The sequence below is a fragment of the Homo sapiens genome, chromosome 9 (genome assembly GCF_000001405.40).
Source record: "Homo sapiens chromosome 9, GRCh38.p14 Primary Assembly".
NCBI classification, from domain to species: domain Eukaryota; kingdom Metazoa; phylum Chordata; class Mammalia; order Primates; family Hominidae; genus Homo; species Homo sapiens.
The window spans coordinates 111883741-111907092 of NC_000009.12; the positions used below are offsets into that span (position 1 = coordinate 111883741).

A 23352-nucleotide genomic window follows, 5' to 3' on the forward strand; every position below is an offset into this window, starting at 1 on the left:
GGTGGTGCATGCCTGTAATCCCAGCTACTTGGGAGGCTGAGGCAGGAGACTCACTTGAACCCAGGAGGTGCAAGTTGCCGTGAGCCAAGATCCCGCCACTGCATTCCAGCCTGGGCAACAAAAGCAAAACTCCATCTAAAAAAAAAAAAATTGTGCTTCAAATGACACCATCAAGGAAGGGAAAAGAAAATCCACAGAATGAGGAGCAGTAATTGCTAATCATATACCTGATAAGCAACTTGTACCTAGAATACATAAAACACTCTTGGCTTGTTTTTTGTTTTTGTTTTTGTTTGAGACAGAGTCTTGTGCTGTCCGTTATCCAGCCTGGAGTGCAATAGCACACTCATGGCTCACTTGAGCTTTGACTTCCTAGGCTCAAGTGATCCTCACACCTCAGCCTCCTGAGTACCTGGGACTCCAGGTGTGCACCATCTCACCCAGCTAATTTTTGTATTTTCTGTAGAGATGGAGTTTTACCATGTGGGAGGCTGGACTCGAACTCCTGGGCTAAAGTGATCCACCTGCCTCGGCTTCCCAAAGTGCTGGGATTACAGGCATGAGCCACCATGAGCAGCCCATAAAGTACTCTTACAACTAAATAATAAAAAGATAAAACCACAATTTTAAAAATCAGAAGGATTTTAATAGATATTCCTTCAGAGAATATATACAAATGGTCAATAAGAACATTAAAATATGCTCAACATCATTAGCCATTAAGGAAATACGAATCAATACCACAATGAGAAATCACTTCACACTTACTAAGACAGTTATGACAAATTTTGGTAAGGATGTGGAGAAATGGGAACTTGCATATATTGCTGGTGGGATTGTAAAATGGTACAGTCACTTTAGAAGAGTCTGGCGGTAACTCCAAAAGTTAAACATAAAGTTACCATACAACTCAGCACTCTTAGGTATATACCCAAGAGAAATAAAAAATATGTGCCTATACAAAAACCTGTAAATGAATATTCATAACAGCTTTATTCATAATAGCCAAAACATGGAAACAACCCAAATCCAACTCGATTAATGAATGGAGAAACAATATCCATAAAATGGAATATTATTTGGCTATAAAAAGAAATGAAGTACTGATATGTACTGTGACATGAATAAACCTTGAAAATATCATGCTGTGAAAGAAGGTAGTCATAAAAGTCTGCATAATATGTTAATTCTTTTTTTTTTTTTTTTTTTGAGACAGAGTTTCATTCTTGTTGCGCAGGCTGGAGTGCAATGGCGTGATCTTGGCTCACTGCAACCTCCGCCTCCTGGGTTCAATCAATTCTTCTGCCTCAGCCTCCCGAGTAGCTGGGATTACAGGCATGTGCCACCATGCCCGGCTAATTTTGTATTTTTACTAGAGATGGGGTTTCTCCATGTTGGTCAGGCTGGTCTCGAATTCCCAATCTCAGGTGATTCGCCTGCCTCGGCCTCCCAAAGTGCTGGGATTACAGGCATGAGCCACCGTGCCTGGCCCATCAATTCTATTTTTATGAAATAGTCAAGATAGGCAAATCTATATAGAAAAAAATTAAATTAGTAGTTACCAGGAGCTGGGGGGAGGGGAAATGGGGAATGACTGCTAATGGGTATGGAGTTTCTTTTTGCAGTGAGAAAATGTTCTAAAGTTGGGCAGTGATGGTTGCACAACTCTGTGAAGATACTAAAAATCACTGAGTGGTATGCTTTAAAGGAGTGAATGTTACGGTGTGTGACTATATCTTAATAAAGCTATTATTTAGAAAACGAACAAGCTGGAAGAGCTAACCGGGAATCTTTCATATTTAAGACTTCCTAGAAATTTTCCATTTTGGAAAAACTCAGTGTGGTGGCTATCGTGGTTATCTTTCCAATTCTATTCCTCCCCCATTCATTACATAGTCACCTTGCAGTTTGGATGGGATTATCCTTACTACCAGCTTCAATAAATTCTAATTTGACTATTCTAGTCTGCCTTGCCATAGCCTAACAAATGGTATTCAAGGGTAACCATTAGAAAAATGAAAAGGCTTAAGATTTTTGTTAGGTCACAACTAACACTTGCTCTCTCTTCCTGGATGTGAAGTACTGATAATTGTTGGCAGCTGTCTTACAACCATGAGCGAGGTCAGCTTAAAGACAAAACTGCTTTGGGAAGCAAAGTTTGGCACTTTGGGAAGCCAAGGCAGGTAGATCACTTGAGGTCAGGAGTTTGAGACCACCCTGGTGAACACGGTGAAACCCTGTATCTACTAAAAATACAAAAATTAGCTGGGTGTGGTGGCACACGCCTGTAATCCCAGCTACTCGAGGGGCTTGAAGCACGAGAATCACTGAACCCAGGAGGCAGAGGTTGCGGTGAGCCAAGATCTTGCCACTGCACTCCAGGCTGGAAGACAGAATGACACTCTCTCTCAAAAATAAATAAAATAAAATAAAGTAAAAGTAAAGTAAAGTAAAGTAAAATACTGACACATAGAGGAGGGGCGAGCCAAGACTATCTCAGAAAAATGGAGCAAGAACTCCATTTTTTAACTGTGCCTGACTCTTGTTTGCTTTATATAGGGTGTGACTCTGTGACTGCCTCAGTTTCTCCTAGCCTGATTGTTAATAGTGTCTCCTTTCTCAAACGAGTCCTGCTTTAGATGGTCATTCATACGTCATACTCCCCATAACTGGATTTTCAGTTACAGATCAATGAATTTATTAGTTAACCCAGGTCAACTGTTTCTCAAGGCCATCCAAGTTTTGTTTGTTTGTTTGTTTGTTTGAGATGGAGTCTAGCTCTGTCACCCAGGCTGGAGTGCAATGGCGCGATCTCGGCTCACTGCAACCTCCGCCTCCTGGGCTCAAGTGATTCTCCTGACTCAGCCTCCCGAGTAGCTGGGATTACAGGCTCTTGCCATTATGCCCAGCTAATTTTTGTATTTTTAGTAGAGACGGGTTTTTGCCCTGTTGGCCAGGCTGGTCTTGAACTCCCGGCCTTGAACTCCTGGCCTCAAGTGACCTGCCCCCTTCGGCCTCCCAAAATGCTGGGGTTATAGGTGCCCAGCTGCACTTTCCTCACTCTTGGCAATGTCTTAGTCTTTCTTCAGGACCCAGATGACCTTCTCCATGAAGTCTTTCTAGATTTTCTGGAATAAAAGTAATCACTCCCAACTCCCAATTTTTCTCATACCTCTATATCAACACTCATTGCATTACAATGATACATTTTTGCATTTCTCTTCCTCAGCTGAACTTGAACTTCTCCAGGGGGAAAAAAAGATTATGTTATTTTTCACTTTGTATCCAAAGCATGAGAACACTGTGTACCTGGAACATCACATATTTTATTGTATTATTATTTTATTATTTTGAGACAGAATCTCACTCTGTCGCCCAGGCTGGGGTGCAGTGGCGTGATCTCGGCTTACTGCAATCTCTGCCTCAGCCTCCCGAGTATCTGGGACTACAGGTGCAGGCTGTTTTGCATATTTTGTAGAGATGGAGTTTCACTATGTTGCTCACCCTGGTCTCTAATTCCTGGGCCCATGCAACCTGCCAGATTCAGCCTCCCAAAGTGCTGGGATTACACGCATGAGCCACCGTGCCCAACCTCATGTATACATGTGTGCACACATGCACGCACACGTATGTGCACACATGCACGCACACGTATGTGCACACATGCACGCATACGTATGTGCACACATGCACGTATACGTATGTGCATACATGTATGTATACGTATGTGCATATGTGCGTGCACACGTGCATGTGCATATATGCATGCATACACGCATGCACACCTGTGTACACACGTGTGCATGCATGTGTGCATGTATGTGCATGTACATGCATGTGTGTACATGTGTATATGTGTGTGCATGTGTGTATGCCTTGTGTGCATGCATATACATGTATGTATAGATATGTGTGTGTGTGCATATATATATTGTTTTTTACTACAAAAAAAAAAAAAGACAGGATCTCACTATGTTACCCAGGATGGTCTTAAACTCCTGCGTTCAAGTGATCCTCCCACCTCAGCCTCCCAAAGTGCTAAAATTACCGGCATGAGCCATCATGCCTGGCCACCTTGTATGTTTTAATATTTGTTGAGGAATAAAGGAAAATAAATAACTAAACGGAAAATCCATTAATTTGTTTACTTTATCATCTTAACAGTCTTAATAATTTTGCTCAGTGTTCTCTATTATAGAGGAAATGACTGTTAATGATGGCTCCCATCATTAACTGTTGATGACTGTTAATGAGGGATCCCAAAATATTTAAGGTGGGTTGGCAACTGAATTTAGGCATGAGCTTATGTGATAGGGAAGGCCCTAATAGTTGTTTCTATCTCCTTGTATTGCAAAATGCTTTGTTTCGTGCTTTTTCAGGTATTAGACAACACTTCAAATTTATACCTACAATGATATAAAAGGCTAAAAACAATCAGATATGATTTCCAAACTATAAAATTACTAGACTAGGGGAGGATGCATCCTTTTCACAAATTAGTTGTTAGTTTGGTACCAATTTGTGTAAATGCTATAACACCTTTTGCCAATTCTGAGCTTCAAAAAATAATATATTTACGTAAACTTGACTCTGAAAACTTTCTCTCGTGTTAATCCTGATGCATTTAATTATATTTTATGAGGTACTTATTACCAAAAATTACCAAAAATAGTTTAAAGACTATTTGATATCACTGTTTCTTAACATCACAAGGCCAGTTTGTGTACCTTTCTAATATTATGCTGGCATGTAACGAATATTTTCTTTCAAGGCCTGAGATTTATTTTTCCCATGGAATAAAAATATCTTTGTTTGCTCCTTACTATTCAATTATATGTCTCCTATTTCCTACAATTGTCATCTAATTGCATTTGTTTCTGATTGACTACACCAGGTATATTAGCAAGAAGATGAGATCTACAATATACTCTGGTTTGTGTAATAATTAAGAATTGTAAAGTATTGCATGCTCTGTCACAAGGAATAATTTGCCAAAGATAAATCCTTCTAATAGGTAATTTTATTTTTTATGGGTTGAAACAGTAAATGGAGAAATAGAGAAAACAAAAGTTAGTAATGTAGATGAAATGAGACAAAATGAATGTACTTTCTCAATTAAGGAATAATAATAAAACTTTATATCCATTTCCCTCCCTGGAATTGTTATAAATATTTTACATATGTTAACTTGTTTAGTCCTCACAACAGTCCATTTATAGACAAAGAAACTGAAGCAAGTGGCTAGGCACAGTGGCTTACACTTGTAATCCTAGCACTTTGGGAAGCTAGGGCAGGAGGATTGCTTCAGGTCAGGAGTTCAAGACGAGCCTGGGCAACATAGCAAGACCCTTTCTCTACAAAATAAAAATAAAAATAAAAAAACTGAGGCGAGAGAGGTTAAGTGACTTGCTTAGGTCACATGGTGGACCAGAATTCAAACTCAGCCTGTCTGACTTTCACAGTATTCAGGCTTAGCCAATAGTTTATACTGTAACCTAAAGGAAAGCATTCTTAAGATAGGGAAGGTATTTTGTAGAGATTCTAAAGTCAGGAGGTCTAGTTTATCTTAACAACCTTTGTTTCTTAGTAAATGTTAAAGTCGCCGGGCGTGGTGGCTCAAGCCTGTAATCCCAGCACTTTGGGAGGCCGAGGTGGGCGGATCACGAGGTCAGGAGATTGAGACCACGGTGAAACCCCGTCTCTACTAAAAATACAAAAAATTAGCTGGGCGTGGTGGCGGGCGCCTGTAGTCCCAGCTACTCAGGAGGCTGAGGCAGGAGAATGGTGTGAACCCGGGAGGCGGAGCTTGCAGTGAGCCGAGATTACGCCACTGCACTCCAGCCTGGGCGACAGAGCCAGACTCCGTCTTAAAAAAAAAAAAAAAAAAAAAAAAAGGAAATGTTAAAGTCAAGTTTTAATTATATTGTTGGTAATTCTGTAAAATGATACAATAAGAAACAGATTTTGTTGGAATTTTCCTGAATTATTGTGTGAGAAAAAAAGCACTTGAAAAAGATTGTTCTTTTAAATTCCTTTTTTTTTGAGACGGTGTCTCGCTCTGTCGCCCAGGCTGGAGTGCAGTCGTGTGATCTCGGCTCACTGCAAGCTCCGCCTCCCGGGTTCACACCATTCTCCTGCCTCAGCCTCCCCAGTAGCTGCGGCTACAGGCGGCCGCCACCGCGCCTGGCTAATTTTTTGTATTTTTAGTAGAGACGGTGTTTCACTGTGTTAGCCAGGATGGTCTCGATCTCCTGACCTCGTGATCCGCCCGCCTTGGCCTCCCAAAGCGCTGGGATTACAGGCATGGGCCACCGCGCCTGGCCTTAAATTCTTCCACTTGTTGTTTGTGCTCTTAATGAACTGTTCTGCAACGACATTATGTTTCATAAAATTCCTCTTAACTGAAGCAAATGATATGGTGGAAGGAAAGAGCAAGGTGTTTAAATTCCCAGAGCATCTTAGCAGAAAAACATGATATACCTTCCTAAGTCTCAGATGGTGAAATTGACTTTCCTAAATCTCAGATGGTGATGTATACATTACATTTGTTATTAAACTAAATAATGCTAGACCAAAATCTACTTTGCAAACTGAATTTTGAGAGTTGAACATCTACTATATGTTGTTTAAATTAACTCAATACTGTACTTGCTTATTTAAATAGCATTGACTTTGGAGTCTGACAAAGCCGGGTCCAAACTCCATTGCTGTCACTTATTGAATGTCATCTGGGCATTTAACTTAATCTTTTTGTCTTACTGTACAGTTTATGACTGTTGTGAAAATCAAGTTAATAGTTAAATAATTTCCCTAGCATGTCATTTATGTTCCCTTGTTCAGTAAATATTAGTCAATCTCTCTCCACAATAAACTTACTGAGTTTGTTTACACACACGCACAAGCTGCATACATAGTCTAGGTGAAGATTTTAGCATTATGAGCTTAAATAAACTAGAATGAGTCATAACTATCTATCCAAAAATAAAGAAATTTCCAAAAACACTTTTAAAAAGATAATAGTTAAGGCCAGGTACAGTGGCTCAAGCTTAGAATCCCATCACTTTGGGAGGCCAAGATGGGTGAATCCCTTGAGTCCAGGAGTTTGAGACCAGCCCGGGCAACATGGCAAAACCCCATCTCTACAAATAATTTAAAAAGTATGCAGTGAGCCGAGATCATGCCACTGCACTCCAGTCTGGGTGACAGAGCGAGACTCTGCCAAAAAAAAAAAACCAAAAAACATTAGCCTGGTGTGGTGGCAGGTGGCTGAAGTCCCAGCTACTTGGGAGGCTGAGGTGAGAGGATCACCTGAGCCTGGGAGGTCAAGGCTGCAGTGAGCTGTGATTATGCCACTGTGCTCCAGCCTGGGTGACAGAAGGTGCTTAAGTGCCCACAAGGTGCTAAACCCTGGGATCTGATGGCAAACTAGTAATTCTTTTTAAGACAGAGTCTTGCTCTGTCACCCAAGCTGGAGTGCAGTGGTGTGATCTCACTGCAACCTGTCTCAAAAAAACAAAACGAAAAAACAAAAACAGTTGATATTTACATGGGGCATATTTGAACATCTTTTGAATTTAGCTTCCATTAAGAATAAACATTAGTGGTTCGAGCTAGGAAAGTATGGATTAAAACAAGATTAAGCATGAAATTTTAAAAGAAAATGAATATGTGATTTAATTTAATTTATTTATTTATTTTTGAGAAAGTCTCACTCTGTTCCCAGGCTGGGGTACAGTGGCACGTGATCTCAGCTCACTGCAACCTCTGCCTCCCAGGTTCAAGCAATTTTCCTGTCTCAGCCTTCTGAGTAGCTGGGATTACAAGCTACTCAGGATTACAAGCTGGTCCAGGAGTTTGAGACCAGCCCGGGCAACATGGCAAAACCCCATCTCTACAAATAATTTAAAAAGTATGCAGTGAGCCGAGATCATGCCACTGCACTCCAGTCTGGGTGACAGAGCGAGACTCTGCCAAAAAAAAAAAACAAAAAACATTAGCCTGGCACCTCCATGCCTGGCTAATTTTTGTATTTTTAGTAGAGACAGGCTCTCACCGTGTTGGCCAGGCTGGTCTCGAACTTCTGACCTCATGATCCGCCCACCTTGACCTCCCAAAGTGCTAGGATTACAGTCGTGTCCGGCCGAGTATGTGATTTTAAAAAAAAGATTTTAGGCCTGGTGCAGTGGCTTACACCTGTAATCCCAGCACTCTGGGAGGCTGAGGCGGGCGGATCACAAGGTCACAAGATCAAGAATATCTTGACCAACATGGTGAAACCCCGTCTCTACTAACAATACAAAAACCAGTCAGGCGTGGTGGCGTGCGTCTATAGTCCCAGCTACTCTGGAGGCGGAAGCAGGTGATCGCTTAAATCCGGGAGGTGGAGGTTTGCAGTGAACTGAGATAGCACCACTTGCACTCCAGCCTGGGCGACAAGAGCGAAACTCCAACTCAAAAAAAAAAAAAATTTTTTAATTAGGCATTTGGATATGAGTTAGCATAGCAGCTGAGAAGAACACAGCAGCTGAGAAGAACATGAACTCTAGTAAACTCTAGTCACTCCCCTGGACCACACCCACATATATAAACACAGGATACCAGTGGTTTATCAAGATCAGGCCCTGAACTGATAATTTGCCTGGAATCTTTGTATCATTTAAAGGCAATTTACAGTAACACAGTATCTTAGGATCTGAAGGCTTTTACAAAGTTACCATTTCATGCATAACAAACCAATGTAAGTTAATCACCTGAGCTGATAGTTAAGGTATTTTTCTACTTAATTCTAAACATGTTTAGAAAAAAGACAAGAATTACTTTTTTCTTGGCATTAGCACCACAAATTTCACGTCAATTGATTCTTTGTTTATGAAACTTCAAATTTACTCAATTTCTGGAGGATCACCTTGTTTTCACCTTATTTTTTAAGTTTTTATAGGGCTGAAAATTTACAGTATGCCTATCTTTTAAAAATAATAATACACTCACCATAGAAAACTGGATTGTGATGTTTAAAATGTTTACATGAAAAATTATTTATAACAATGACAAAGATGGAAAATATGTGATATTGAGACGAAAATTATGTTGTTGACTGTCAAGTAGAGTATGGGCTTTGGAGCAGGTCTTCAGGACATGATTAGTTGAACTAATATGTAATTACTCTAACTCTTTAGCTTAATTTTATAAGATAAAGGAGGAGGTATGGAAGTTAATGTGTATTTTTCTCACAACGAAAAACCATTTAAAAATCTTTACAGACAAAGGAGAAAGCTGAGAAATTTTTCCAGAAAGTTTTTCCAGAAAATTTCAGAAGTCACTGAAATTTTTCCAGTGACTTCTGTCAATGGATAAATAAACATTTTATCTATTCATTCAGTCAACAAATATTTAAGTGCCCACAAGGTGCTAAATCCTGGGATCTGATGGCAAACTGGTAATTTTTTTTTTTTTAAGTCAGAGTCTCGCTCTGGCACCCAAGCTGGAGTGCAGTGGCATGATCTTGGCTCACTGCAACCTCTGCCTACCAGGTTCAAGTGATTCTCCTGCCTCAGCCTCCCAAGTAGCTGGAATTACAGGTACCCACCACCATGCCTGGCTAGATTTTGTATTTTTTGTAGAAACAGGGTTTTACCACGTTGCCTGCCACCACGCCCAGCTAATTTTTCTATTTTTTGTAGAAACAGGGTTTCGCCATGTTGCCCAGGCTGGCTTGAGATCCTCCCACCTTGGCCTCCCACAGTGCTGCAATTACAGGCCTGAGCCACCGCGCCCAGCCGCAAACTGGTATATCTTATTCAGACATTTATAGCATTTCCAATGTTATACACATATTTGTATACATATATAAGTAGAACACCTTTAGTGGAACACTCACTAATTTTTTTTAAGAATTTACTTTTTAGAGTAGTTTTAGGTTCACAGCAAAACTGAGCAGAAAGTACAGAAGGTTCCCATATACCCACTGCCATTCCCTCCACCAGCCTCCTCCACTATTAACATCTTGCACCAGAGCACCATATTCGTTACAACTGATGGACCTACATTAACACACCATTATCACCTAAAGTCCATAGCTTACATTAGGGTTCACTCTTGGTGGTGTATTTTCTACGGGGTTTGCCAAATATATGACATGTATACACTATTATAGGATCATACAGAATAGTTTCACTCACAGCCCTAAAAATCCTGTCATCTATTTGTCCCTCTTTCCTCTGCTCCATGGCAACCACAGATCTTTATACTGTCTTCATACTCTTCCCTTTTCTAAAGCTGTTTTAAAACGAAGTTTGGGTAAACATAGTTTAACTAGGGTCAAGTATAATATAACTGATCTTTAATCTACTGATTATACTCAATTTAGCAAATTTGTTAACTCTTAAGAATATCTACTTTCACATTTCTTTGGCCTCTTTTTTTGTGTTATTGGTCATACTGTATAAAATCCTTTGTTGTAAGGTTCCAGAAAACATTTTTGAAAAAATGCAGAATATAAAACAATGCTTAAATTAAGCAATTGGTGTTCCTCAAATCTAAGAGGGCATTTAATGATAAGATGCAGCATTATTTTATATATCACTAAGATGCACTATTATTTTATATTTGAGTAAAAGAAAACCACAAGCCATTGGCTGGGCACGGTGACTCACGCCTGTAATCCCAGCACTTTGGGAGGCCGAGGCAGGTGGATCACGAGGTCAGGAGTTCGAGACTAGCCTGAACAATATGGTGAAACCCCGTCTCTACTAAAAACACAAAAATTAGCCGGGTGTGGTGGTGTGCAAATGTAGTCCCAGCTACTGGGGAGGGTGAGACAGGAGAATTGCTTGAACTCAGGAGGCGGAGGTTCCTGTGAGCCTAGATCACGCCACTGCACTCCAGCCTTGGCGACAGAGCGAGACTCCACCTCAAAAAAAAAAAAAAAAAAAAGAAAAAACGCCAATTAACTCTAAGATGGCATTGACTGTGAGATGCATTCCCATTTCAGAGAAATTAAAATTTGTTAAAGTGTTTTTTTGAAGTGTGCCTTAGAATTAACTACAATCGTAAATTTTTGTTTGGAACGTTATTTCGATGTTAGAATTCTATTCCACTTTTTTTTAAGACAGGGACTCACTGTCACCCAGGCTGGAGTTAAGTGGCGCGATCACAGCTCACTGCAGCCGCCACTTCCCAGGATCAGGTGATCCTACCACCTCAGCCTTCCCGGTAGCTGGGACTATAGGTGCCATAACCATGCCTGGCTAATTTTTTTTTTTTTTTTTTTTTGTAGAGACAGGGTTTCATCATGTTGCCCAGGCTGGTCTCAAACTCCTGGCCTCAAGCAATCCTCCTACCTGAGTCTCCCAAACTGCTGGGATTACAGGCATGAGCCACTGCGCCTGGCCCTCCATCCTGCTATTTTTATCAGCCAGTAACTCTCAACAGTGGGAATTTGATTTTGAAGCATTGTTCTTTCCCACTGATTCTGCACCAGTGGAGCCAAGGATGTTAATCGAGGAATGGTTCGGACATTAACTCTTCTAGTTGTAGTTTGTCATTTAATTGCAGATTGAGGTAGATCATTCAGTGACTATTAACTACCATAAACAGCAATAATAAACAACTTCTTTTCTTTTTTTTAAATTCATCTATTTTTTTTCGAGACAGAGTCTCGCTCTGTCGCCCAGGCTGGAGTGCAGTGGCGCGATCTCGGCTCACTGCAACCTCCGCCCCTCCAGGTTTAAGCAATTCTCTGCCTCAGCCTCCGGAGTAGCTGGGATTACAGGCGCCTGCCACCACGCCCGGCTAATTCTTTGTATTTTTAGTAGAGACGGGGTTTCACCATCTAGGCCAGGCCGGTCTTGAACTCCTGACCTCATGCTCCACCTGCCTCCGCCTCCCAAAGTGCTGGGACTACAGGTGTGAGCCACCGCGCCCAGCCACAACTTCTTTTCAAAATTGAATTCAATTCTGAAATATCTCAAGGGAGGTCATGGATTATTTAAAAGGAAATCACTTGCAACAATAAACATAAAACAATGCAGAAATAGTATAAACTCATCTAGATTGAAGAAACACAAACATTGAGTACTAGCATCTTCTTGGGATGACTTAAAATTAGGACAAATACTTAGTTACCTTACTACCCAAAGTGACATTTCTTCCCATTTTAGAGCTGTGCTGTCCACACGTACAATTAAAATTTTCTAGTAGCTAGCCAAAGTATTTAAAAAGAGAAATTAACTTAATAATTTACCTAATTTAATGTAGTATGTCCAAAATATTACCTTTTCAACATGCAATCAATATAAAATTTACTAACGAGATGGTCTTCCACATCTGGTGTACTGTTTACTCCACAGAGTGGCAAGCTGCCTTTCCAACCCTCACTTAGCCACATGCGGCTACCGTATTGGATGGCAGTCTTAGGGAATTTCAATATCAACTGATTCTTTAATTCTGAATTTGAGAATTTCTTTTTATAATACACACGGTCGCTAAGGCGCTTAGAGATCTGTGAGGCGCATGGAGATTATTTTACTCTCCGGTCCCTTTTGATCCAAGATCCCACAGCATTAAAAGCAGTAAGAGGGAAGGCAATGGGCATCCCTTGCGCCCAGGAACGTGGCCTGGAGGGCCTGGCTGCTCCGAGCAGTAGCAGTGCCCGGCGGGGAGGCTGCAGACGCGGCGTTGGAAGTTGGATTTCTAGACAAGCTCCGGCAGCTGCCCGGAACCCGTGTCTTTTTCTGGGGCACCCAGGAACAGCAGGGCCAGACGGAGAGAGAGCAGCCTCCAGCCAGGCACAGGGTCCCGAGCTGCCACCGACACCGAGGGAGCCCGGCCCAGGGCTGCAGCGCTTTCCGCCTAGGTGGGCGGCAGCGGGAGCGAGGAGCCGGAGGAAGCCCGGCCTGCGTCCTGCGGGCAGCAGGACACGATCTCCCCGGCGCGCTCTCGCCGGCGCCGCAGCGGGCGCGCGGGCGACAGGGTGGGCGTGGACCGATGGGGGCACCGCCCCTGGGAGAGGCGGGCGCCGCGGTTCCGGGGGCGGGACGCGCCGAGGAGTGGGGCGCGAGCCGCCGGTTTTGATTAGTGCGCGGAGCTGCGGCGGTGGAGCTGCTCGGCCGGGAGCCCGGCGGCGAGACGGAGAGGCGGCGGAGGTGCCCGCGCGCAGGGTCTGGTGGGCGGCCGCGAGGCTCGGGAGAGGCGAACCGGAGCGCGGGACCGCGGTCGCCCCGACCAGAGCCGGGAGACCGCAGCACCCGCAGCCGCCCGCGAGCGCGCCGAAGACAGCGCGCAGGCGAGAGCGCGCGGGCGGGGGCGCGCAGGCCCTGCCCGCCCCTTCCGTCCCCACCCCCCTCCGCCCTTTCCTCTCCCCACCTTCCTCTCGCCTCCCGCGCCCCCGCACCGGGCGCCCACCCTGTCCTCCTCCTGCGGGAGCGTTGTCCGTGTTGGCGGCCGCAGCGGGCCGGGCCGGTCCGGCGGGCCGGGGGATGGCGCTGCTGGACCTGGCCTTGGAGGGAATGGCCGTCTTCGGGTTCGTCCTCTTCTTGGTGCTGTGGCTGATGCATTTCATGGCTATCATCTACACGTGAGTGAGGGACCGCAGGAGGGGCTCGGGGCAGGGGTCCGGGCCTCGGAGACAGGCGAGAATGGGAAACGTTTGCGCTTTGAAGGGGACTGGGCTCGGGCGGGGGTGGAGAAAGCTGATCGTCAGGCTGTTCCCCCCGTTCCCTCGCCCCTCGGACCGGCGGTGGCGGTGGTCTTTGCGAGGGAAAAGTGTTGGGCGTGGGAAGGGTTTGCTGGGTTGCAGGCGACTGCCCAGCCAGGCTAAAGGAGACTGCTCTTACGTGTCAGGCTGAAGGTGGTGGCTTGGTTTGATTGTGCTGGGGATTCGTGTAATTTTTCATCTGGGCCGAGATGTATGGTGTATTGTTTTTTTCTCCCGACCTGGGCCACGTTTCTGTTAGGGTGGTGATTGTGTCCACTTTTCTGGGAGCTGCTCACAGCTATCTGGACACCTCTCTGTGGATTTTCTTCTTCCTGGAAGGGCTCTATGCGCTTAGATAGGTGTGAAGCACCTGTCCACCCTGAAAAATGTCCACCAAACCTCCGAGCTGGCATGATAGCTTTGAGTCCTGTCAGCTTGTACATCTCAGCGTGGTTTTCTTTCCTTTTTTCAGTTCCTCGTTTTATTGTTTTATGTAGATTTGTACTCTCCCCGTGCCGGCCACATCTTTTCATTTTTGTTTAACAAATACTTCTTGAGGCCTACTAGATACCATTCACTGTTATTGGCCAGGGGACATGGTGGTGAGCAGGACAGAATTCCTGTCCTCATGAGTCTTACATTCTAGAAGGAAGGAGCAGATAAAATCTAAATAAGGTTATGAGATTGTGACGAAGCGTGTAAGTAAAATAGAACTGGGTGATGGCGTGAATAGAGACATGGGTTATGTGGCTAGTTTGGTATATCCACTGTTTAAGGTGAAATCTGCCTCTGTAAAGAAATGAAAAAATTATATAGAGCACATTACTGATATCGATTCACTTGGATTTTTAGTCTGGGGGGAGAAAAGAGCAATTGTATATAGTAATCGTTACCATGAACTAGAATAGAGTGTATGTTAGTGGAAGAGACTTTAAGAAATTAGTTACTTTTAGTTTTTTGGTTTTTTTTTTTTCCTTTTTACTGCGGAAAAAGTGTGCCTTTGCTTTTGGAAACACTGTATTTTATTAGTATAGTGTGGCATTTCCTGGTACTGAGAAAGATGATGCTGGTACAGGTTATACTGATATTTCTTTGAAAGTGAAAGAAAACATGCCACTTGGATATTGTTGACTTTAGTTTTTGGAGTTGGTGAGCTTAGTCACAGCACATTCTGGAGTTCATTTAAAATATGTGAGTTCTTTTTCTTTAAAAAAATTGTTACTTTTTACCGTCATAAAAATAAAAAATGCTTACTGTGTAAGGAATTTATGCAATAGAGAGAGATGGAGAAAATTAAAATATGCACACACCAAAACTACATTACCTTGTTAACCTTTTGTGACTATCCTTCCAATCTGTGTGTGTGTGTGAGAGAGAGAGAAGGAGGGAGGGGAAGAGGGAAGAGAGAAAAGGACTATATTATGATTATTGTTCTGTAACCTGCTTTAAAGTTCATCTGTTTAATAAATGTTTATTGAAAAGCCGTTTTGTGCAAGGCACTGTTCTAGTTGCTGGAAGAGTGAAGAACAAACATACAAGGCCCCTGTTCACATGGAACTGTCCTGTAAAATGTCTTGACCGTTTTTTGCATGTCAATATCTGTATGATCTCTACATCATTTGTAATAGATGCATGATATTTTAGTTTACCAGGTACCAAGATTTATTTATTATTACTGATGGATGTTTAGGTTGTTTCCAATTTATCTAGATTACAAAGAACACTGTGATGAATTTATATGCATACATCTTTGAGAAATGATCTCATTTATATTTCCGAAAGAGGAATTATTGGGCCAGAAGTGGTGCACATTTTAAACTTTGATACATATTGGCCCCATGGAAATGTTATGTATATTCACAGTCCTGGTAACATTGTATGATGGCCCCATTTTGCCTTACAAACACTAAGTAGCAGGCATTTCACTGTTTTCTGTTTCTATTTTCATTCCTTTAAAGTTACATTGAGCACTTTTAAAATATGTTTATATGCTAGTTACATTTAGATGTAAATTACATACTCATAATCCTTTGCCTGTGCTGCAATCTGTTGCTGAATTCATCTTTCTGATATAAAGGTTGTTTTCTGTCACATGTAGCATTCTTTTCCCCAGTCTGTTTTTTGTCTTTTAACTTTGTACATATATTTGACATGGAGAAAAGTGTGTGTGCATGTGTGTTTTAGGTAGATAGGTCTTTCCGTTTCTTTTACATTTTCTAACTCTGTTATAATTTTTATATCTTCCTTATTCCTCCAAATTATTATATATGTTAGTCTCTGCTTCCTCTTAGTATTTTTTTCTTAATTTTTTCACATATTACCCTGAATTCACCCAGTATTTTACTTCGTTATATGAGAGCTAGAGCCCTAATTATAGTTTCTTCTAAATATTTAGAGACTTGTCCAGAATTACTTATCAGATGATTATTTGATTATTCCACTGTTTTGAAATATTTTTATTATAAACTAAATTCTGCTTTATACTTGGGTATGTTTCAAAGCTTCTATTGCCCTTTCTTAACCTATTTTAGATGGCAGATGTTTGTAGGATTTCTGCCAACAATGTCAAAGGTAACATTCAGATTAGAGACATTTCAAATTCAAGAGTCTTATTGTTGAGATTGAAGATTTCCTAAAAATAACTAAAGAGTATAGCCTTGGCAAGTTAAATAGCCTTTATGGGTTAATTTTTTTTTTTTTTTTTAATGGTAAGTGCTAGTGTGGCTTGATAGGTTGGGGCCTAAGGTGAAATTGTATAAAAGCCTAGACCTGATGGTAGTGTTTCTCTTCTAGCCCTTGGGAGCCACGTTGCTGCGTGATGAAGTGATCTAAGCAGAAACCTTGCTTCATGCTCTCTTCCCTATCCCATCCACCTCATATTATTATTATTTCCCTGTGTACATAAGGTCCTAATGTTTATCATCAGGCTTTATCTTTCGACTGGAGGTGCTAGGCTAGTGTGGAAATAATTTATGTGTCCTTAAATATTAGCTACCCTCAAGTAAAACAGAGGTCCTTTTTTACCTGGAGGTGTATATGTATATGTGTGTGTGTGTGTGTGTGTGTATTCTTTCTTTGATACAGGGTCTTGCTCTGTTGCTTAGGCTGGAGTGCAATGGCACGATCTTGGCTGACTGCAACCACCGCATCCCAGGCTGAAATGATTCTCCTGCTTCAGCTTCCTAAGTAGCTCCCAAGTAGCTGGGACTACAGGCATGCCTGGCTAATTTTTGTGCTTTTTGTAGAGACAGGGTTCTGCCATGTTTCCCAGGCTGGTCTTGAACTCCTGGACTTAAGTGATCTACCTGTCTTGGCTCCCAAAGTGCTGGGATTACAGGTGTGAGCCATCATGCCTGGCCCCCTGGAGATTTTTTAAGTTTTTTTTAAAGTTAATTCTGCTTTCTACAAACGTATTTCCTTTATTTTGTTTATTGTTATTTTTTTGAGACAGTCCTCTCTGTTGCCCAGGCTGGAATGCAGTGGCTCGATCACGGCTTCACATCCCAGGCTCGAGCAATTCTCCCACCTCAGCCTCCCAAGTAGCTGGGACTACCGGTGCATGCCATCACGCCCAGCTAATTTTTGTCACCCAGGCTGGTCTCAAACTCCTGGGCTCAAGTGATCCCCCCACCTTGGCCTCCTGAAGTTCTGGGATTACGGGCGTGAGCCACTGCGCCCAACCCAAATATGCTATCTCTAATGTACAGCAACTTCAATACCTGATGCACAGTTTTTGAATGGAATTTGCATACTCATTGTGTCAGGATAACTGCGATAAACTACCCGTCAAAAACTGGTTATGTTTTTCATGTAAATTTTAGCATTTGGGATATTATTTTTAGTTAGTACGATCTTTGCCTTAAATTCATGAATACTTGGTGTTCCAAGCCTTAGTGGAATGTAAATTGAGAACGTCTTTTTTGGGTTTAGTCCTGCCAATGCCCTTGGACTGTGGTCAAACGTTCATCAGTCAGGATCATTGCTACAGGGCTACTTTCAGGGAAATGAATAAGGCAGTCCAGCAATTCAGCCCCTTTAACCTGAGCCTGGGAAGATACGGAATTAGACTATAGTGTGATAGCTTTAAAGAACAAAGTGAGGGGCAGTGTGGGGAGGGAGAGCATCAAGAAGAATAGTTAATAGATACTGGGCTTAATACCTCGGTGATGGGATGACCTGGGCAGCAAACCACCATGGCACATGTTTACCTACGTAACAAACCTGCACATCCTGCACATGTACCCCTGAACTTAAAAGTTGAAGAAAAGAAAAAGAGCAAAGTGGAAATTGCAAGATTTTAGTATTCAGTGATGGTTCTATTGATTCATTATCCCTGCCTTTCTCTCTGACATTAGTTAGTTCAGCACACCTTCATATCTATCCTAGATGTTGAAGCTATGTCTACTCGCTGGTATCTCTAGCTGCAGCCTTGTGCCCCCTCGATTTTATATTTCTTATTGTAGCCTTTATCCTTCTGGATTACTAATCTTGGATCACAGTAGCTTAAAATCTTACCATGAATCCTCATTGCCTCCGGGTTACAGTTCAAACTCCTTAATGAGACAAGCACAGCTCTGTAGGAGCTGAACCAGCAACGTTGTATTACTGGCATTTCCCCAAATGTACAATGTGCTTTCTTTGGAATTGTCTTTACTTTCTTTCTTTTTTCTTTCTCTTCCTTCTTTCCTTCCAAAAATCTTGCTTAATTAACTCCTACTCGTTCAAGTCATTTTAGACTTTAGTTCCTTATTGGGTTAGGTGCCCCTTATGGCACCCAGCCATCTCCTATTTGTTTTCTATGGTGGTGGAATCTTCTACATTCTATAGTGTAGTAAGCCCATTGTCCAGTGGGCAGAGTTTGTGTTTTCCTATAGAGCTAACTCACTATTGGTTATTTTACCTTCTGTGAGAGAATTTGTGTTAGCAAGGTTAAGCTTGCACAAGAAGGTGTGCTTTATATTGCTTATGAAGCCCATTTTGAAGCAATACCATTTTTGAAATAAGTGATACAGGTAGTAAATTGGTCATGATATACTGATTATAAACAAACAGTAATATAGTCATGAGTGATAACAATAACAAAGGTCATTAGTCACTGGAAATTGCTGGCATGGACTATGTGAAGTTAGGGACTTGCTGATATAGCAGTGAACCTAATTTTACACGAAATACTAACAAGCTTTGTGACTTGGAGCAGGGAAGATAAATTCCTAGAGTCAGATAAATTGGTTCAGCAGAACCACACAGCGGAATTATAAAAACAACACATTCTGGGGTTGTTAAGCAAGGTGAACTTTTGCCCTTGTGGAATTCATATTCTTCCTTAGAAACCTAGAGTGAAATTCTCTCTTTTTTTTTTTTTGAGACAGAGTCTCATTCTGTTGCCCAGGCTGGATGGCAGTGGTGCGATCTCGGCTTACTGCAACCTCCGCCTTCTGGGTTTGAGTGATTCTTGTGCCTCAGCCTCCCAAGCAGCTGAGACTACAAGCACGTGCCACCACACCCCGCTAATTTTTGTACTTTCAGTAGAGGTGGGGTTTCATGATGTTGGCCAGTCTGGTCTTGAACTCCTGGCCTCAAGTGATTCCCCCATCTCAGCCCAGCAAAGTGCTGGGATTACAGGCATGAGCCACTGTACCCAGCCGAGTGAAATTCTTGTGCCTCACTTGTGAGGAGCTGTATTAAGGTTGCTGCAGAGGCTGCTTCCCGCCATCTGAAGGGGAAGGAGCCCACCCTCCTTGTTTAACCTTTACCTGTCTCCAGTGGGTTTCCCTGCATCCCAGGCTTCCCTCTTGCAAAAGCCAAATTTGAAAACAGAACTGTAAAAGAAGTTATTTAAAAATGAGACAGACAGGGCGTGGTGGCTCACGCCTGTAATCCCAGCACTTTGGGAGGCCGAGGCAGGCAGATCACCTGAGGTCAGGAGTTCAAGACCAGCCTGACCAACGTGGCAAAACCCCATCTCTACTAAAAATACAAAAATTAGCTGGGTGTGGTGGCAGGCGCCTGTAATCCCAGCTACTTGGGAGGCAGAGACAGGAGAATCGCTTGAACCCAGGAGGTGGGGCTTGCAGTGAGCCAAGATTGTGCCACTGCACTCCAGTGTGGGTGACAGAGCAAGACTCTGCCTCAGAAAAAAAAGAAAAATGTTCCCACCTTGGCTTTTTTTCTTTTCTTTTTGAGATAGGGTCTCGCTCTGTTACCCAGGCTGGAGTGCAGTAGTGCGATCATGGCTCACCACAGCCTTGACCTCCCAGGCTCAAGCAGTCCTCCTACCTCAGCCTCCTGGGTAGCTGGGACTACAGGCACATGCCACCACGCCTGGCTGATTTTTGTGTTTTTTGTAGAGACGGGGTTCCGCCGTGTTGGCTAGGCTGGTCTCGAACTCCTGAGCTCAAACAATCTGCCTGCCTCGGCCTCCACAGGTGCTGGGATTATAGGCCTTTCCATTCTTCAGTCACCCAGTCTTTCTAGACCTGTGGTTGTCAAGTTTGACTGCACTATGGAGTCACATCAAGGGCTTAAAAAAAAGAAACAACTGCTGCCTGGGTCTCACCCCTACAGACATGGTTAAATTGGTTCAGGCATCAGTATTTTCAAAACTCCATAGGTGACATGGATGTGCAGCCTAGGCTGAGAATGATTGCCCCAGGCTGTCTGCCCACAGTTGTGTCCAGCACCTGCCACCTCTTGGCTTCATTTAATTCTCCATTTAGCCTAGAGCCCACAGTTCATCACTTCATTATCTTGCCTCTTGCCTCACCTCGTATCAGTCTGCCCTGTTATCTTGAATCCATCCAATAATTATAGCTGCTCAACTTTGAAAATCCTACAGAGGGTAATCACACAGCCATGTGGACTAATACTACTACACATTGGTAGTCTCAGGGCTCAGCTAAACCTGCATTGCGGTGCTGCCTGGCAGTGCTTTTTTTTCTGTGTTTAGCTCTGACATCCATCACTTAAAAAAACCTCTTCTAAATCTTCATTCTACCGCATTCTTGGTAGATGACCTTAGCTCCTACTTCATACTGTGGATCCCATCATGCCTTAAATTAGTTTTTTCTTTTTCTCTCTTTGCCCTTCGGCTAGCTCTTCTTGAATTTTTAAAGAATTTCAAGTAGTCTTTAAAAAATTGAACTAGAGGCTGGGCTTGGTGGCTCACACCTGTAATCCCAGCACTTTGGGAGGCCGAGGCAGGTGGATCACCTGAGGTCAGGAGTTTGAGACCAGCCTGGCCAACATGGGGAAACACCATCTCTACTAAAAATACAAAAAATTAGCCGGGTGTGGTGGTGCTCGCCTGTAATCCCAGCTACTCCGGAGGCTGAGGCAGGAGAATCACTTGAACTCGGGAGGTGGAGGTTACAGTGAGCCAAGGTTGTGCCATTGCTCTCCAGCCTGGGCAACAAGAGCAAAACTTTGTCTTGGAGGAAAAAAAATTCAACTAGAGAGCCAAGGCGGGGAGGATCGCCTGAGGCCAGGAGTTCAAAACCAGCCTGAGCAATATAGCAAGACCCCATCGCCACAGAAAAATTTTAAAAAATTAGCCAGAGGCAGTGGTATGCAGTGAGCTATGATTGCCACTGCACTCCAACCTGGGTGACAGAGCAAGATTGTATCTCAAAAAAAACTAGAAAAATTAAACTAGAAGCCGTCTGTTCCACCCTTTGGCCCTTTCACTCACTGTCAGGTTTCAGTAGAAACTAGTGTTTGTTTACTGTTATCACATTTCAACTCCCATTCATTTACTTTTTAACCGATTTTTAGCTGTCTACCCTTATCCTCCATGAACTGCCCCAATTCTTGCCAAAAGTGCTCAGAGATAGCAGCAAGTACATATGTAATCTACTGGACATTACCATTCTTACCTTGGTCTCTCCAGCAGCATTCAGTGTTATTCTTTCTTGAACCCTTTGAGAAAGAAAACAGCCTGGCCAGATAAACCCTTCTGTCACTTTACTTGCATCCTGGCTGTCTTTCTGCTTCTTTGATCCCCACTTTTAGTCTCCTTCATGCATTACTCTTTTTTTTTTTTTGAGAGGGAGTTTCGATCTTGTCATCCAGGCTGGAGTGCAGTGGCACAATCTTGGCTCACTGCAACCTCTGCTTCCCAGGTTCAAGCAGTTCTTCTGCCTCAGCCTCCCAAGTTGCTGGGATTACAGGCGCACCACCGTGCCCGGCTAATTTTTGTATTTTTAGTAGAGACGGGGTTTCACCATATTGGTTGGGCTGGTCTCGAACTCCTGACCTCAGGTGATCCACCCGCCTCAGCCTCCCAAAGTGCTGGGATTACAGGCATGAGCCACTGAGCCCGGCCTCTCCTTCATGCATTACTGATTCAATAATAATATATTCCTTCTTGGCCATCTTCTAAGAATGCTGTGCCTCAGAGAGCTTGTGTATTTACCTTACGGTGGATGGCTTCTGTATTTTTATCTCTAGGCTAACCTTACCTGCTGAGCTCTCTGTATCTGTTTATTTATTTACTCTTCATTTATTCAAAATTATTTTTAAAAATTGAGAACATACTGTGTATTATTGCTTTGCTGGGCTCTGGAGAATTTATATTCTACTGTAGTGTTTCTCCAGTTGTAGTTTACTGCCAGCCTGCATCATTTGGTATGCTTGTGAAAAATGCAGATTCCTAGTCTCTTCATCTGGTTTATTCACTTGTGATCTCTACCTGTGGGCATTATTTATACTACAAGTTGCAAACCTCTGGTCTCCTAGATGAGATGTCACCACTTGATGTCTTGAGAGTAAATTAAAGTTCGTATGTTCAAAAGTTCATTACTCTTTCCCATCTCTCATTGTGCCCAGATTTTATGAATGGCACCACTAGTTACCATAGCCTGACCCAGGTATACCCCTCATTATCCCTCATTCCCCCTCCAGCAATACCATCATCAGTTATTGGCTAAACTCCTTGATTCTGAGTTCTCACCTTCTCTTGACTTTGCTTCCTTCGCTTGTTTCTTTTGTGTGTGTGTTTTGTTTTGTTTTGTTTTGTTTTGAGACAGTCTCGCTGTGTCGCCCAAGCTGGAGTTCAGTGGTACGGACTCGGCTCACCACAACCTCTGCCTCCTGGGTTCAAGTGATTCTCCTGCCTCAGCCTCCCGACTAGCTGGGATTACAGGTGTGCGCCACCATGCCTGGCTAATTTTTGTATTTTTAGTAGAGACGGGGTTTCACCATGTTGGCCAGGCTGGTCTTGAACTCCCAACCTCAGGTGATCCACCTGCCTCAGCCTCCCAAATTGGCTGGGATTACAGGCATGAGCCACTGCACCCAGCCTTTCACTTGTTTCTTATGCCTTTCTGGTTTGTGTGCTTGTCTCTTTCTTTTGGACCTTTGCAATATTTTTCCCTTGCCTTCCATCTCCCCTGCCTGTACTTTATTCTCTTAACTTCTATAAATACAAAAATGATCCTGGTTGCTTCCTTTTAGTCTTTCATGGTTATTTCTTGCCTAGAGGATGAGCTCCAGGCCTTTTCAGCCTTGTCTGTGAAGTCACGAAGAATTTATAGCAGAGATGAGTCTTAAAGCAGTGCTGCTCAAGCTTGAGTGTGCCTGTGAATCACCTAGAGATCTTGTTAAACTGAAGATTGAGTTTCAGTAGTTTTGGGGGATGAGGCCTGAAATTTTGAAGCTCTGAA

General features: G+C 42.9%; 1 protein-coding gene across 2 annotated transcripts in view, besides 6 other annotated features; it reads left to right on the forward strand.

Moving 5' to 3' along the window:
• Positions 2557-3385: an enhancer, noted in NCBI's record as "H3K27ac-H3K4me1 hESC enhancer chr9:114648577-114649405 (GRCh37/hg19 assembly coordinates)". NCBI's record gives its function as "activates a minimal SCP1, AML or CMV promoter by ChIP-STARR-seq in naive H9 embryonic stem cells {active_cell/tissue: H9 hESC(naive)}" and the evidence as "EXISTENCE:reporter gene assay evidence [ECO:0000049][PMID:30033119]".
• Positions 12525-13108: an enhancer, noted in NCBI's record as "H3K27ac hESC enhancer chr9:114658545-114659128 (GRCh37/hg19 assembly coordinates)". NCBI's record gives its function as "activates a minimal SCP1, AML or CMV promoter by ChIP-STARR-seq in primed H9 embryonic stem cells {active_cell/tissue: H9 hESC(primed)}" and the evidence as "EXISTENCE:reporter gene assay evidence [ECO:0000049][PMID:30033119]".
• Positions 12525-13318: a biological region, named in NCBI's record as "H3K27ac hESC enhancer GRCh37_chr9:114658545-114659128".
• Positions 12729-13318: a silencer, noted in NCBI's record as "silent region_20184". NCBI's record gives its function as "represses an Ori minimal core promoter by ATAC-STARR-seq in GM12878 lymphoblastoid cells {active_cell/tissue: GM12878}" and the evidence as "EXISTENCE:reporter gene assay evidence [ECO:0000049][PMID:35858748]".
• The window catches only part of UGCG (UDP-glucose ceramide glucosyltransferase), a 38556-nt gene continuing 28277 nt past the window's right edge, over positions 13074-23352 (forward strand). For both annotated transcript variants that reach the window (NM_003358.3, XM_017015107.2), the window contains exon 1: positions 13074-13573. In NM_003358.3, coding sequence (NP_003349.1) covers positions 13476-13573 — 98 coding nt within the window. In that variant the 5' untranslated portion in view covers positions 13074-13475. The remainder of the gene's footprint in view (positions 13574-23352) is intronic.
• Positions 13429-13518: a silencer, noted in NCBI's record as "silent region_20185". NCBI's record gives its function as "represses an Ori minimal core promoter by ATAC-STARR-seq in GM12878 lymphoblastoid cells {active_cell/tissue: GM12878}" and the evidence as "EXISTENCE:reporter gene assay evidence [ECO:0000049][PMID:35858748]".
• Positions 20019-20118: an enhancer, noted in NCBI's record as "active region_28799". NCBI's record gives its function as "activates an Ori minimal core promoter by ATAC-STARR-seq in GM12878 lymphoblastoid cells {active_cell/tissue: GM12878}" and the evidence as "EXISTENCE:reporter gene assay evidence [ECO:0000049][PMID:35858748]".